General features: G+C 48.1%; 1 protein-coding gene across 23 annotated transcripts in view, besides 1 other annotated feature; it reads right to left on the bottom strand.

Annotated features, from left to right (window-relative positions):
- CTIF (cap binding complex dependent translation initiation factor) overlaps positions 1 to 15,817 on the bottom strand; it is a 324,187-nt gene that overhangs the window by 300,713 nt on the left and 7,657 nt on the right. For 5 of the 23 annotated variants that reach the window (XM_047437960.1, XM_047437965.1, XM_017026101.2 and 2 more), the window contains one exon: positions 9,061 to 9,221. The exons of the other annotated variants lie outside the window; for them this stretch is intronic. The gene's annotated coding sequence lies outside the window, so the exon portion shown is untranslated. The remainder of the gene's footprint in view (positions 1 to 9,060; positions 9,222 to 15,817) is intronic. 23 annotated transcript variants of the gene reach the window in all.
- Positions 12,110 to 12,611: an enhancer, noted in NCBI's record as "H3K4me1 hESC enhancer chr18:46076265-46076766 (GRCh37/hg19 assembly coordinates)". NCBI's record gives its function as "activates a minimal SCP1, AML or CMV promoter by ChIP-STARR-seq in naive H9 embryonic stem cells {active_cell/tissue: H9 hESC(naive)}" and the evidence as "EXISTENCE:reporter gene assay evidence [ECO:0000049][PMID:30033119]".

Genomic DNA, 15,817 nt, shown 5'->3' with positions numbered 1-15,817 from the left:
GCAAGGGGGAGATGCTGACCATGCCACATCAGTTCTAGTTAGTGGGGCCTGCTCCACCCAGTTTTTATATAAGGCCACCAGTGAGAGGCAGCATGGCCCAGTGGATAAGAAGGCAAACTCTAGAGCAGGACTCCTGAATTCAAATTTTGCCTTTGCCACTTAGTAGCTGTGTGACCTGAGGCAAGTTACTTAACCTCTCTGTTAACTCTGCCTCAGTTTTCTCCTCTCTAAAATGTGGGTGATGATACTACTGCTCATCTCATAATGTTTTCATAAGGATTAAGCAGTAAGTTAACAGTTTTAAAGCACTTGGTACAGTGCCAGGCACATGCCAAGTGCTGTGAGAATTGCTTTTATTGTTAAAAATAAAGAAGAGTTGTTTCCAGAAAAAAAACAGTATGGCTAAAATGAAGTTGAAAACCATTGTTTTAGATCAGGGGTGAGCAAGTGTTTTCTGTAAATGGCCAGACAGTAAATATGTTAGGCCTTGTGAGCCATATGTTCTTTTTTTTGTAACCAGCCAAAAGCAACCGTAGATGTACGTGAAGAAACAGGCATGACTGTGTTCCAGTAAAACTTTCATTTAGAAAAACAGGCATTGGGCTGGAGTTAGTCTGCAAGTTGTAGTTTGCCAACCCCCAGCCTAGACCAAATTCCCTATTTTACCGATGAGAAAAATAGAGTGGGGGTAATTATCTGACACAGCTGGAAGCCAGGTCTTGGTCCTCCTAGACCAGGGCACTTTCTAAAATCAAGTGCCCCAGGAAGGAAAAGAGAAGTAGTCAACAGTTCATTCAGAATATAGACACACTTCCACTGTGTTCTGCCAGGGGACAAGGACACCCTGAGAAAAAGTGACACTGAGGCCATTGCTTTCCATCAGTGATACTTTGGGCTTCCTGAAAGTGGGGCACAGGGATGGAGTGTCCCCTGATCCATCTCTGCAGCCCCCAGCAGCCAGCACAGGGTCTTGCCACAGTGGAGTTTCTCTGAGAAGGGTCTTAACTGTGGATGGTCTTGCTGCGAAAGACTCCGTTGCTGCAAAGCCAAGAGCCTGCACTTCCCAGTCTCAGCAATTTCTGGGAATGGCTGAAGAAATAAAGCTCCACTATATGCCCAGGACAAGGGGGAGCCACTTTTAAATTATTAGCCACTTTTAAAGAATTAGCATATAAAAGGGGCTTCAAGCAAAACATTTACTAACTATAACTGAGCTCAAATGATACAAGCAAGTTTTTATAAACACTCCTTTTTTTTTTTTTTTTTTTTGAGACAGAGTCTCACTGTCGCCCAAGCTGAAATGCAGTGGCACAATCTTGGCTCACTGCAACCTCCACACGCCAGGTTCAAGTGATTTCCTGCCTCAGCCTCCCATGTAGCTGGGATTACTAGCATGTGCTACCACACCCGGCTAATTTTTGTATTTTTAGTAGAGATGGGGTTTGGCCATGTTGGCCAGGCTGGTCTCGAACTCCTGACCTCAAGTGATCTGCCTGCCTTAGCTTCCCAAAGTGCTAGGATTACAGGCGTGAGCCACTGCACCCAGCCAAACATTTCTTTTTCACTCCTCCACAAAAGACTGCAAGTAGAAGATGAATCTAAACCTCAGGGAAGGTCTGTAATAAGGAAGGATAGGCCGGGCAGTGGTTCATCCCTAGAATCCCAGCACTTTGGGAGGCCAAGGTGGGAGGATCACTGGAGCCTAGGAGATCGTGACCAGCCTGGGCAACGTGGTGGAACCCTGTCTCTACAAAAAATACAACAAATTTTGTGGGGTACAGTGGTGTGAGCCTGAAGACCCAGCTCCTCAGGAGGCTGAGGAGGGAGGATGGCTTGAGGCCAAGAGGCGGAGGTTGCAGTGAGCTGAGGTCACACCACTGTACTCCAGCCTGGGCATCAGAACAAGATTCTGTCTCAAAGAAAAAGAAGGAAGGATATTCCTTTTTGTGAGACCAGTTGTTATGGTTAAAACAGCCTCCAAGCCGGGCGTGGTGGCTCACGCCTGTAATCCCAGCACTTTGGGAGGCCGAGGTGGGCAGATCACAAGGTCAGGAGATCGAGACCATCCTGCCTAACACAGTGAAACCCCATCTCTACTAAAAATACAAAAAATTAGCCGGGTGTGGTGGTGGGTGCCTGTAGTCCCAGCTACTCCAGAGGCTGAGGCAGGAGAATGGCGTGAACCTGGGAGGCGAGCTTGCAGTGAGCCGAGATCACACCACTTCACTCCGGCCTGGGCAACAGAGCGAGACTCTGTCTCAAAAAAAAAAAAAAAAAATAGCCTCCAAATTCTATGAAATTCCTCCTAACAAGAAGTAGGGTCTGTGTCCCCACCGTCTTGAATCTGGACTCTGTGACTGCTTGACCAGTAGTATATGGAAGTGACACTCCAGAGACTGTTAGATAACTGGCATTTCTATGCCAGCCCTTAAGAAATTAGCCGTCTCTCCTTCCTGTTTCTTGGGCCATTCACTTTTGTGGTTTGGTTTTTTTCATATTCTTGGGATAAACTCCACTTGGTCATAATATATAATTATTTTGTTTGGTTTATTTGTATTTATTTAGGGGGTACATGTGCAGGTTTCCTACATGCATATATTGCATAGTGGTTAAGTCTGGGCTTTTAGTGTACTCATGCCTGAATAGTGAACACTGTACCCAACAGGTCGTTTTTTGATCTTCACCCGCCTCTCACCTTCCCACCTTTCACAGTCTCCAATGTCTATTACTCCACTCTACATTGGGATTAACTTTTCAAACCCAGCCACCATGCTTTGAGGAAGCCCAAGCAGCCTTGTGGAGAAACCTGCATGGAGAAGAACCAACAGCCAGCACAACTTGCCAGCCATGAGAATGTGCCATTTTGGAAGTGGATCTTCCAGCTCTGATTGCAGCCCAGCTGATGCCATGTGGAATAGATGCAAACTGTAGCTCTTGAGCCCTGCCCAAATTACAGACTCATGAGCAGGACAAAGGATTATTGCTGTTTAAGCCACTAAGTTTTGGGGTGGTTTTTCACACAGCCTACAGTAACTAGAATACCTAAAACTAGGCTCTTAAATTCTAATCATTTATTCAGCCCACCAAGCTATCTGCTTCCACAGGTAACATTAGAAAATATTCTTTTGTTTGTTAGGATTGGGGGGGGTGGTAGGACTACAGACCTCATTTAACATTCTATCATATTAATAAACGAGCTAAGATATTCGGGGAAAACTAGGATGAGGAAATAAGTCTCAGGATGGTCTGAAGGTAGGGCCAATTTTTTAAGTAAAAAAAAAAACAACAACAAACTTTTTTAAAATTTGTATGAGCACATAAACAAATTTGACAATGAGACTCCAGAGTCCCCATCTAGATAAAAGATGATAGTTAGGAGAAGTTCTGATTTCAAATATCCAAATACTCATCCTGATTTTTGATTCAGAAAATATGATCACCATCACTCAACAAGACGGGAGAGGATATTCTAGTCTAAAAATGCTGAGTCCAGTGCTACAGGTGATTATCTCTCCTACAACATAACTCTTACAGATTCTGAAAAAGATCTGCAAACGCTTATCAGGTTTTCCAGTATGAGTTTACCAGGATGGGTTAGCTCTCAAATACACCCCTTACTTAACTTTTGAATAAGTGTATTTATTATTGGTTGGAGAATGGATGTCAAAGAGAACACTTTTTATTGCAGCATGTTTGATGCTAAGATGATCATTTGAACAATTAAATATATCAACTGTCACTGTGCTGATGTTTTTCAGGTGCCAGCTGAGAAGTTTCTGATGACCAAAATCCTAGATAACAAGTTGCTGTTTAAGAATCTAAATTTGCAAAACAGATGCATTTGAAACAAACCAGATACTATAAAAAAGGATTCTTTACAAAAATATTTACTACAGTTGTCTTTAGGTGCTGACCACTTTTTGTGACTCGAAATTACAATTATATGTATAAAGGTTTTATGTAAATAAACATTTAGGAACCCATATTTGTTACATGAAAAGAGGTAGCCTTAGGCTGAAATTGAACATGTATTATTCAAAACTCTACCAGTGCCAAGTGACACAAACCCAACCCAAACTAGTTCATGCAACATTACCCAGAATTCACTACCTTGGAGTTTTCTGTCATACCCGTGTACCAACTGTAACATTACTATTGACCTTGTACTGACTTTTTATTAAACTCAGCCTCCTGCAGAGCAATACTGAATACTCCCTTCACTTGTGAACATCACAAATTCTATGTACTAGTTGTGTTTGTCATTCTTTAATGCACACATAGATGAATACATGGCTTATATTTTGTACCAGTCCATAAGTATCTAACTGAAAATCATTGTGTGTTCTACCAGTGGTATGAATGCCATTCCTTAAGGCACAGAAAGGGAATATACTCCAGCCTGAGCAACAAGAGTGAAACTCCATCTCAAAAGAAAAGAGAAGAAAAGAAAAGAAAAAGAAAGGGAATCTACTGAATAGAGAAGTGTTACAGACTGAATTATGTCCTCCCAAAATTTACATATTGAATCCCTAATCCCCAGCATAAATATGTTTGGAAACAGGGCCTTTAAGGAGGTCATAAAGGGTAAGTGTGGTCCTAAGGGTGGGGTCTGATTAGGATAGAAGCGGTGTCCTTATAAGAACAGACACCAGACAGCTGTCTCTTCCCATGTGCACAAACACAGAGGAGAGACCGTGTGGGACCCAGCAAGAGGGCAGCTGTCTGCAAGGCAGGAAGAGAGCCCTCACCAGAAACTGAATTTACCAGCACTGTGATCTTGGACTTCCAGCCTCCAGAACTGTGAAGAAATAAAATGTCTGTTGTTTAAGCCACCCAGTCTGTGGAGTTTCATTATGGCAGCCTGTACGGACTAATACAGAGACTATAGAAACTAACAAATTCAGCACCAAGCCAGAGGAAGACAAATCGAGCAGAGGTATTGGTTCTCTTAAGTTTCCAGCTCTGCTTCTCTTCAGCTGCTAGTGCTGTGCTGTCTCCCCAGGACAGGTCTCTCCACGGCAGTGGATGTGGCCAAAGCTGCCAGGCTTCTTTCATGCCATGCCCTCAAGAAGAAAAGGACTTTCTCTCCCAGCTTCCATTCAGAAAACTCCAGGGAAGGTTCCTGGTTGGCCTGGCTCTGGTCACGTGCCTATCCCTCATCCAAAAGCTCTGGCTGGGACAATGGGGGCACAAAATGGTTCATGACCAGCCTGAGTTCCAGCCCCCTCTGTAGCCCAAGGGTGACTGACACCTGTGAATTTCCAGGTCTCCAAACAAGTTTTGCAGGGGGCCTTCAAGGTACTGTTTCTGCAGTTCTCTATCTCTTCCCCACCATCCTCCTGTCCCTACCCCCAGGCCACAATCTCCCCTCCTCTGCAATCCCATCTGCTTTTACAGCCCCACCCCTCCTTCAGTCCCTGCTGGACTCTTCTGACCACACTGTATTTGCCTATGATCATAAGAACAGCCATCCTTTCCAGAGACTCAGCTCCATGCCAAGCACTGGGCTAAGTGTATAACATATATTAGTTCTCATTCTAACAGCAGCCTTATGAAGTAGACACTGTTATGCCAATCTCATAGCTGGAGAAGCAGAGCTTTAGAAAATTAACTCTCCTAAGGTCACAATGCCAGTGAGCAGGCTGGACATGGAGGTTCACACCTGTAATCTCAGCACTTTGGGAGGCCAAGGCAGGTGGATCACCTGAGGTCAAGATTTCAAGACCAGCCTGGCCAACATGGTGAAACCCCATCTCTACCAAAAATACAAAAATTAGCCAGGTGTGGTGGTGCGTGCCTGTAATCTCAGCTACTCAGGAGGCTGAAGCACAAGAATCGCTTGAACCTGGGACGAAGAGGTTGCAGTGAGCTGAGACTGCGCCACTGCACTCCAGCCTGGGCAACAGGGTGAGACTCCATCTCAAAAAAACAAACAAACACAATGCCAGTGAGCAGCTGAGTGGGTAACAAGCCAGTTCTCAGCACTCCAGAGTGTGTACTTTGAGGATGTCCCAGCTTGTTCTCTGTGCACCTGTGAATCACTGACATCTCTATTCTTGGGGCGGGGTGCCTGAGCAGACCATCACCTCCCCTTGCATTGGGGCTTTCCAACTCCACTATCAAAGGCAAGGTGAGGAAACCAAGTCACAAAGAGTTTAAGATTCTGTAGTGAGCTTTATGCAGAGCCAAGCCTGGAATCCTGGAAGCTCGTGAGCCTCAAAACTGGAATTCTTCGCTACCACTCCACAGTGATGCCCCCACCTATTGGCATCCTGACCTTCCAGATGGGCAGCTGAGAATCCATCTAAGGCAGAGATGCTGCTGAGACGATCCGGAGCACTCACCACCCACCCTTCACGATCAGATCGATGTGCAGGCAGCTCAGGACAGACAAGACCAACGGGCAGCCCAGGAGTTAAAACTGCAGGCTCAATGTTTAGAATAAAAAGACAAGCTCCAAACCCTCATGCTTCCAGAAATGGCCCAGACTTGGGGAGCTGAAAGTCCTGCCTGCCTCCTCCTGGCAAAAGGAAACTTTTGATACACATTTCCCATCAGCCAGCATGCTCAGGGTTTCTCTCTCCTGCTGGCTGAAGGCTCCCTGAAAGCACAGTTGAGTCTTCCTTTCCTTTGCCCCCTATTCCCCATGCCCAGTGCCCCAAACTGAGCCCTGTGTCACACACACATACCAAGAGACTTCCCTGGGGGCAGACACCACAAGAATGTCTTCAGTTGAAACACAGTTTCCTCCATGGCTCAGCCAGGGAAGTCATCCAATATGTCCATGTCACAGGGTCTCTATGCAACTGGGCAAAGGTGAGCACCAAACCTTATCTCTGCTTCCTGAGCAAAAAAGAAATGAAGCCAGAGGCTGGCAGGCCCAGGGGGAGGTGGCAGTGCTAAGACACAGGAGCTGGTTCCCAGTGGTGAGTGGGTGGCCAGATTTTCAGGGGTAGGAGCCTGCATGAAACATCCCCACCTTCTCCAGGCCTGGAAGCCCATCCACCCCAATCCCCATCACAGTCACTTTGGGCAGAAAGCTCCAGCCTTCCTCTGCAAAGTGGGTCAGGCCTCAATAATCTCACCAGCTTCTGAACACCCTTGACCTTAGCTCCCTGGGCCACTCAAAGGGGACTCAGATGAGGTGGCCTGGGCTACTCATCAGGGCTGTGAACAGTCCAGGCTGGGGAAACAGATCTTTGCCACAGATTATTTTGGCAGGAGCTGTGAAGGAATGGGAATCCCCATATCTAGAAGCTGCCCATGAAGAAAAATTACACAGTCATGGGCTACATTAACAGAAATATAGTGTCCAGATGGAGGGAGGTGACAGCAGCATGATTCCTGCACCACTCAGGTCACACCTCGAACACCGTATTCCATTCCGTGTCCCCATTTTAGGAGAAGCATTGATAAAAGAGATGTACAGAGAAGGGAAGCCAGGAGAGGTTTGGACACCTTATCCAGAGAAACCTTAAGGGAAGAGAGCTTACCTCCAAAAGAAGATTTGGCACTCTGAATACTTGGTCACCCTGGAAGGAGAATGGGATATGCGTTCTGTGTGCCTCTCAGATCACAGCCAGGGCTACTGGGAGGCACACCTTGGTCTAAGATAATGTCTTTAGGCCCGGGCTGCCAAGTAATGGCCTGGGCTGCAAAGCTGTAAGCTTCCAATTCCCGGGAGGCTACAAGGCAGATGCCTGCAGGAGGCCAAGCCTCTCTCAGGTCCTTCTGGGCTTTCAGATCTGTGATTAAGTCATTTAGAGCCTCTCCCATCTTCTAGATTGAAGTGGGAAGGAGAGCCTCAGGGACCTCAGGCAAATCTCAGGAAACCTGGAAGATTCTTTCTCTCCGAAAAGCTGGTGTTAGGCTGACAGAGAGGAGAACTTGGGAAAGGGGCCATGTTCCCAGCCCACCAGAGTACGATAATGCTCCTCCATCGTGGATCCTGCCTTCAGGGGGCTTTCAGCCCTATCCCCACAACCCTACAAAGGCATAACCTCTCCACTGCAGTGCACTGGCAAACACAGTGAAGAGGGTGCCTCCATCGCAGTGCCTGCCTCGGCCTGGGAGGAGACAGACAAGGGCCGCTGGGTACAGGGGCAGCCTGGAGCCAGTTCCTGAGGGAGACACAGGAACCCAGAAATTTCCACACAGTTCATTCTAGAGAGGCAAGAGGGCACAGTTCAGAGAACCAGTCCTCAGTTTGTCTTCTCACTGGCAAGCCTGGTATGCGAACTTGGCCAAGTCACTGGTTTCTCTTGCTTAAATGTTCCCATTGGAAGAAGTGCACTAGCCCTGCCAGCTCCCTAGGCACCTCACAACAATGCCAGGGGTAAGGACCCCTGGTGGCACCAACAACAGCAAGAAATGAGAAGACAACTTAGCTGGTCACACTGGCGGACAGCCACTCCACCACAGCAGCTGGGTGTGCACAGCCTCTTCACCCACTGCAATCTGCAGGCCTCTTCCCATCCACCCAAATACTGGTGTCAGGGAGCTTGGGAGTCTGGAGCTCTGAGGTCATGAGTGGGCCGCAGAGAATCAGGAACTTTGTGGCTCATGCCTGTAATCCCAGCACTTTGGGAGGCCGAGGCAGGCAGATTACGAGGTCAGGAGATTAAGACCATCCTGGCTAACACAGGGAAACCCTGTCTCTACTAAAAAAAAAAATACAAAAAATTAGCCGGGCATGGTGGCGGGCACCTGTAGCCCCAGCTACTCGGGAGGCTGAGGCAGGAGAATAGCATGAACCCGGGAGGCGGAGCTTGCAGTGAGCTGAGATCACGCCACTGCACTCCAGCCTGGGCGGCAGAGCGAGACTTGTCTCAAAAAAAAAAAAAAGGAAAAAGAAAAAGAAAAAGAAAGTCACTCAACCTCTTTTCCAGTTCTAAAATCTACGACAGATACATTAAGTAAACTTTTCTAATGAGGTGAGTAAAATCACGAACGCCTCGTGGGATGAGCCAGGAGCTGGGCGGCTGCAGGTTAACAATCCTTGTTCTGACTGCCCTGGTTACAGTCTGCATTCCGGGAATTACCCCATCACCCGCTCCTCACCGTCATCTGCCAGCCACCTGGGCCTAAAGGCAAACGGAAACAGGATGGAGGGAAAGACACAGAGGTCTTTGGCTCAACTTGGGCCTCCAAGGCTTGCCACGCCCGTGGCTGGCTTCTCTCTGGTGCGAATGAGGCTGCAGGCAACCACGTTTTTGTTTCACCTAGAGGAGGAAATCACAGTGACATCACTTCACCAGCAACCCTCTCCCCACACGCTTTTGTGGACGTCACTCAAAGCCCACACCATCAAAAGCCTAGAACAAACCTGGCACAAGGTGGGGATCATTTCTACCTTGTGCAAAGAGGTAATTTTGTAGGGAAGGAATGAATGGCCAAACCACACTTCCAACTGGCCGTATCAGGAAGATGTGCAACTGTTCCCTCAGGTGTAGGCAAATGTCAAAAACATCTCAGGGATTCTCCCTCCTAATCCCTGTATTATAGAAGGATGGGCACTGGGAACCTCAGAATGAGAGGATCAGAGACTTTAGTATTATATCGTCCAAGCCCTGAGGTCACCGAGGACAAAGCACCCAGATGTGAAGTGACTTCCCTGAGAGCAGCCAGATCACAGGTGGCCAATCTAAGACCAGTGACCTTTTCAGAACATCAGGGGACTACAGGGGAACCTGCCAATCCCTGTGTGTGACAGGCAAAGCTTGAGCAAAACTGGTTATGCCACTTCTTAGCTGTGTGGCCTGGGGTAAAACACTCAACCTCCGCTACTGTCTGAATGTATCCCCCCAAAATTCACAAGTTAGAAATCTAACCACTGACTCGATGGTATTAGGAGGTGGGGCCTTCAGGAGGCAATTAGGTCATGAGGGCAGAGCCTCATGAATGAGGTTAGTGCCCTCATAAAGGACACCCCAGAGAACGTCCTCACCCATTCCATCATGAAAAGAAGCAGTGAGACGGTGCAATCTATGAAAAATTGAGCCTTCACCAGACACTGAATCTGCTGGCACCTTGATCTTGAACTTCCTAGCCCAAGAAATAAGTTTCTCCTGTTCATAAGCTACTCAGTCTATGGTATTTTGCTATAGCAGCCCAAATGGACTAAGACACAGGAATCCAGAAATTTCCACACAGTTCTTTCTAGAGAGCCAAGAGGGCACAGTTCAGAGAACCCGTCCTCAGTTTGTCTTCTCACTGGCAAGCCTGGTATGCAACTTTGGCCAAGTCACTGGCTTTTCTTGCTTAAATGTCCCCGTTGGAAGAAGTGCCCTCATTTTCTCATCTATGAAACAGAAGCTGTAATGGCTAATGAAGACAGCACATGCAAAGTGCTTACTATGACACCACAATACTTAGCAACTGTTAGGCTTTGAAAGTTATTATTAGGCCAGGCACGGTGGCTCACGCCTGTAATCCCAGCACTTTGGGAGGCCTAGGCGGGCGGATCACGAGGTCAGGAGATAGAGACCATCCTGGCTGACACAGTGAAACCCCGTCTCTACTAAAAATACAAAAAAAATAATTAGCTGGGCGTGGTGGCGGGCGCCTGTAGTCCCAGCTACTCGGGAGGCTGAGGCAGGAGAATGGCGTGAACCCAGGAGGCGGAGCTTGCAGTGAGCCGACATCGCGCCACTACACTCCAGCCTGGGTGACAGAGTAAGACTCCGTCTCCAAAAAAAAAAAAGAAAAAGAAAGTTATTATTGGATCACCCAGGTTTCAGGAGAAAGACCACCTGTTCAATCCCTGCGTTTACAGACATCTCCCCACTGCCCAAATGCAACAGCTTGCAGGCCAGAGTCCACACAGGCCTGGGTTTCTAGCCTGGCTTCCCTGTGTGACCTCAGGAGGAATGCTAACTTTTCAGGTGTATCTGCAAAAGAGAAGAATAACAACTACACTCAGAGCTGAAAGATGAAATACACTTAGGGGGTGAAGTCCTAAACACAAGCATAACACACAATGCATGTGTATTAGTATCCATGGCTGCCATAACAGAGGACCACAAATCAGGTGGCTGAAAGCAACAGAAATGTATGATCTCATAATTCTGGGGGCTAGAAGTCCAAAACCAAGGTGTGAGCAGGGCCACACTCCCTCCACAAGCTGCAGGGGAGAATCCTTCCATATTCATTTGCTAGGGCTGCCATAGCAGGCCACCATAGACTGGGTGGCTTCATCAGCAGAAATGTATTTATTCTGGAGACTGGAAGTCCAAGATCAAGGTGTTGGCAGGGCTGGCTTCTTCCAAGGCCTCCGTCTTGACTTGCAGATGGCTGCCTTCTCGTTGCATCCTCACACTGTTGACCCCATCTGTGTCTTATCTGTGTCCTCTTCTTCTTTTAAGGACACCAGTCATACTAGATTAGGGCCCACTCTCATGATCTCATTTTACCTTAATTACCTCTTTAAAGGCCTGGCCACCAATCCAGTTCTGAGGCGCTGGAGTTAGGACTTCAGCATATGAATTTTGAGAGGACACAATTCAGCCCAGAACAGGATAGTTGATTACCTTTCTTCCTCTTAGGGAGGAAAACATGTAGAGATCCGTAAGTTCTCGTCCAGGGCACTGTGCAGTGCCACACGGAACTGGTTTGGAATCTGGACAGATAACCAAATGAACAAGTCCCTTTCTAGAAATATGTATCTTGCCTTAAAAATACTTTTTTTTCCATGAAGCATGGACCCTGTGGCCGGCACCACCCTAGCCCTATAGGAAATGCCCTGATGACTCCCAGGACAGTAGCAAGGTGCTCATGATCCCAGGGGACAGATAGGCAAGTATCCAAGGAATGATGAGGAGGCAGGGAGTGATGGGAAGTGCTAAGTGCTCTAGCAACCCACAGACTGTGCTGTGGGAAGAGGGGGAGGAGGACACAGTGACACCCTGAGCAGAGTGGAGAGGAGCCCAGAGGGGACAGATTTGTCTCTTAGCTTGCATGGTCAGCCCCACGGCCTGGGCTGTTTGCATGTGTATGTATAGAGGGGATAGTGGTTTGGGGAGGGGAAGGTGGCATCCACCACCATCTTCCCACACCCTGCATTCCCTGGGGCCAGGCTTCCCAATCAGCAGGGACAACAGAACTCATTCTGCAGAATGTGCAGGCCACAGCTGAGCACCAATTCCTCTCCCCAACCCACAGCTGCCTGCAAAGGTGACTGCCATCCTCTACCAACCCACTGGAGCCTCAGGCCCTCAGGCCTTTCCAGTCCTGCTGCCTAGGCCACCAGTGACATATGCTCCCTCCCTCTGGACAATTCTGCCTACTGGGGTTCTCCACCTGGCCCCAGTGTCGGGAAAGTGGAGGAGCTGCTGGGAGAACAGACCACAGAACCCATGTCCTGGGACCACAAAAAAGGCATCCATGGAACACCTGGGATCCTATGCACCAGCATTACCTGTGGCTTAAGAAGTAATAATTACCAGAAATGGCAAACCTATAGTGATATAAACCAGGTTGGTGGTTGCCAGAACTAGGGGGTGAGATTTTAAAAAAACAAACAAACAAACAAAAACCTCAACAATATTGAGATATAAAAAAAAGTAAAGCTAATTCACTAACTCCCCCCCAATAAATAAAAACATCTTGAAACTTGGTGAAGTAAATGTTCCTCTTTGCTTAGCCAACCATTGCTCCCTTCCCCACTTCCTTGCAAACACAGCTTGCCTCTTGCTCTAGATGAGGCGAAAGCACCAGGGACTTGCTTTCTCCTCCTCCACTGGAGCGGAGGCATGGGTACTGACCCGTTTCTCTTCAAGGAGCCTTGATAGAATCTTCAGCAGGGGAATTCTGGGAAAGGCTTCCCTTCCTGACAAATTAAGACAGACAAGGAGAATCTAACCTTCCTGCCTGCCTTTGGACGCAGTTATGTGAGAACATGATGCCCGGAGCAGTGGCAGCCATGCTATGACCATAAGGGGACTGGCCTGAGAACAAAGGCCAATGTGCTGAAGATGGCAGCCTAGGTTAGACAGAGTCCTTGAAATGATCGCTGACTCCCTGAATGAACCAACCCTAGAGCTCCTACCTTTAGACTTCTGGCTGAGTTGAAACACCTTGTTTTTAAAGCCATCGTTAGTACACTGTTCTTTTACCTGTAGCCAATAACATCCCACAAGCCCGATGGTTTTCATCTGTCCATACTTCCACCCCAATCCCCAAACTGAGATCATGGTGAGATATAAGATAGAACCCTGTGGCTGTAAACTGAGCCCCATCTGAATTCTGAGTTCAGTCCCCACAGATAATGCTTTCCCCTACGTCCTCTAAGCAAAGGAAGGAAACAGCTGCCAATTCCTCTTGTGCACGAGCACCTCCCCCATCACCCCTATGTGCACCCTGCAGTATAAATGACTGATAACAGTGTCTGATAATAGTGTCAGGTATGACCCACATGCATACGCCCTCCCTGGCCCATGTGTCCATAAGCCCTCACCTACCCAGGACAACCTCAGTTTATATCTGTGTCCCAGCATGATTATCCATTGGAAAAAAAAAAAATTCACAGTCATCCGACTTCTGGCTGCCTTGGCACCCTTTTCATTCTCCTGACCCCATACTTACCACCTTACACTAGCGCAAGGCTATTCTGTCTTCCCCAGCAAGATGGGCAGATGGGCAGCAGGGACCCTGCCAGGCTTACCTCAATTCATCTCACCTCACTCCTAGAGCCAGACCCACTGCAGATACCATGTGTGTCCACTAAACTGAGGCAAAGGTTAACAGCTAAAAGGATTAAGGCAAATCAATAGAATGTGGGCAGAAGAAACCATTTTTAGAGGGAGAAGAGGAGAAACTGGGTGCTTTCTCGGAATCCCTGACCTTCACTATTGGCCTTGTCTGCACAGGGTCCTTCATGCCAGTGGCAGAGCACATCCAGGCACGTCCAGCCATCTGATGCAACCTTGCTGCAAAGGCAACGCATGCTCTTTATTACCCAATCTGCTGAATATGTGACCCACACAGATGCCAAGCATCAAGGAGATGGAGGAACAGAAAGACATTTTGCTTCCTGAGAGTGCCCAGGGTACTGTAGGTAGATACCGGAGACAGATAAACCGCATGCTGTAAAAAATACTTTGCTTGTAAACACCAGCCTGTTTGGTGACATGCCAAGATGTGAATTCTCTAGCAGGTCACTTTCTTGATCTCATGGTTCAAACGTGTAAGTATCTCAGCAAATGCCCCAAGAGTGTGGGACAGGCCTGTGTGTTCCCAGCTACTGGTGAGATCATGATACTGCCTACCCCAGGGGAAGGCCCTATAAGGGAACAGCATGGGGAATGTGTCAGCTCCACCCACTCTGGATGGAACCACACACATTCTTTCTGAATCCCTTCAGGGCTCAATTGTCATAACTACAGTTAGGCATTACCATATCTCTGCCTCTCTGTCTCCCTCAGAGAGGTTACTTTCATTTAGCGAGGCACACAGAGAGCGCCCAGCATTGTGCCTGGCATTTAACAGGCACTCAATAAACTCCCTGCACTCAATAAATTCCACACAGCTCCCTGCATGGGATTCCCAAGTTACTTACTTATAAGCTGAAATGTATTCTGGGCGTCGGAGGAAGGAACTTGCAGCAGGTGCTGCTGCCTCTCTCATGATCATCCGAAAAGCACCGAGCCAAAGCTTCTCAGAACTCCCCCATCACAGACTGCGCCTATGCAGCCGGCTCAGCTACCCTCACATCTATCTTCAAAAGCTGCCTCTGTGTGAAGTAAGTTAGGACAGAAGTTGGCTGGATTCTCACAGAATCTCAGCTTGACAAATGGAGGCCCTTCCAGCAGAAGCAAGCAGGATGGTGAAAGGTCTAGAAACCATCTCTCACAACAGCTGCAGGGGCCATGGGTGAAAATGGCCAGCGAGGAGGGTGGCCAGAGCTCAGTACAAGGCCTTTCCAGCTATAACATAAGGGAAGGCGCTGCCTCCAAGGCAATAAACTCCCGGCCACAAGCAGCAAGCACATTGGAACCAAGCGCTGCTGCAGTCAGGATTCCCACACCAGGTGGAGGGTTGACCAGATGACCTCTAAGATGTCTCCTGAGTTTGAAACTGTAGGAACTAAAGACTCTGAGCATGGGAAGACAATGTAGTGCCCAGTCTAGAGGACCAGTAGCAACTGCAATCTGCACAGGGCACCCTTAAGGGGACCCTGGAAAGAAACCTTATCTGTAAGAACCTGACCTGAGTATGCAGTAGGGAGAATGTTCTGGGCTTCCTAGACGGGGCTCATCTGAAGTTTTTTCCTAAGAGATGAAGGCTTGGATGGAACTGTCCTTCTCTGCCATCCTGCACATGCCTCCCCGAGTTGTGCAGCTGTCTCCAAGGCCCTTTTAAAAGGTTCCTACCGAGGGGCACCTCTGCCCTTTCTCTTCTCTCTCCTCCCTCACTTACCCTGCCCTGATCGCAAAGCATCTCCCAAGGTGGAGATTTAAGTCAGCAAAGGGCAAAGAGCCCCAGACTCTCCCCAGGCCCCTGATGCCCTAGAGCTCACAGTCAGGAAGACACTGGCCCCCAAGTCTTTACATGCTAATTTCTCTCTTGAGGGCCTCCTGGACCACATGTGTAGTGGACATTCAAAGCTCTAACAGGCCTGAGGTCTCACATTTCTAGGGAAGATTTTTCTCCACCTCACATCCAGGTCAAGACAAAAAGCAGCACACCCACTTTCCATCCCCCATGCGGACGGGCTGCTGTCTAGTCCATCCTTTCTCCCAGCATGCAAACTTTTACCAGGTCCTGTTTTAGGCAGGGCTCTTGATTCCTGGTATCATCTCTAGTCTCGGAGGAGATGCAG

Source organism: Homo sapiens, chromosome 18 (genome assembly GCF_000001405.40).
Source record: "Homo sapiens chromosome 18, GRCh38.p14 Primary Assembly".
Lineage (NCBI taxonomy): Eukaryota > Metazoa > Chordata > Mammalia > Primates > Hominidae > Homo > Homo sapiens.
This window is presented reverse-complemented; position numbering and strand designations above follow the sequence as displayed.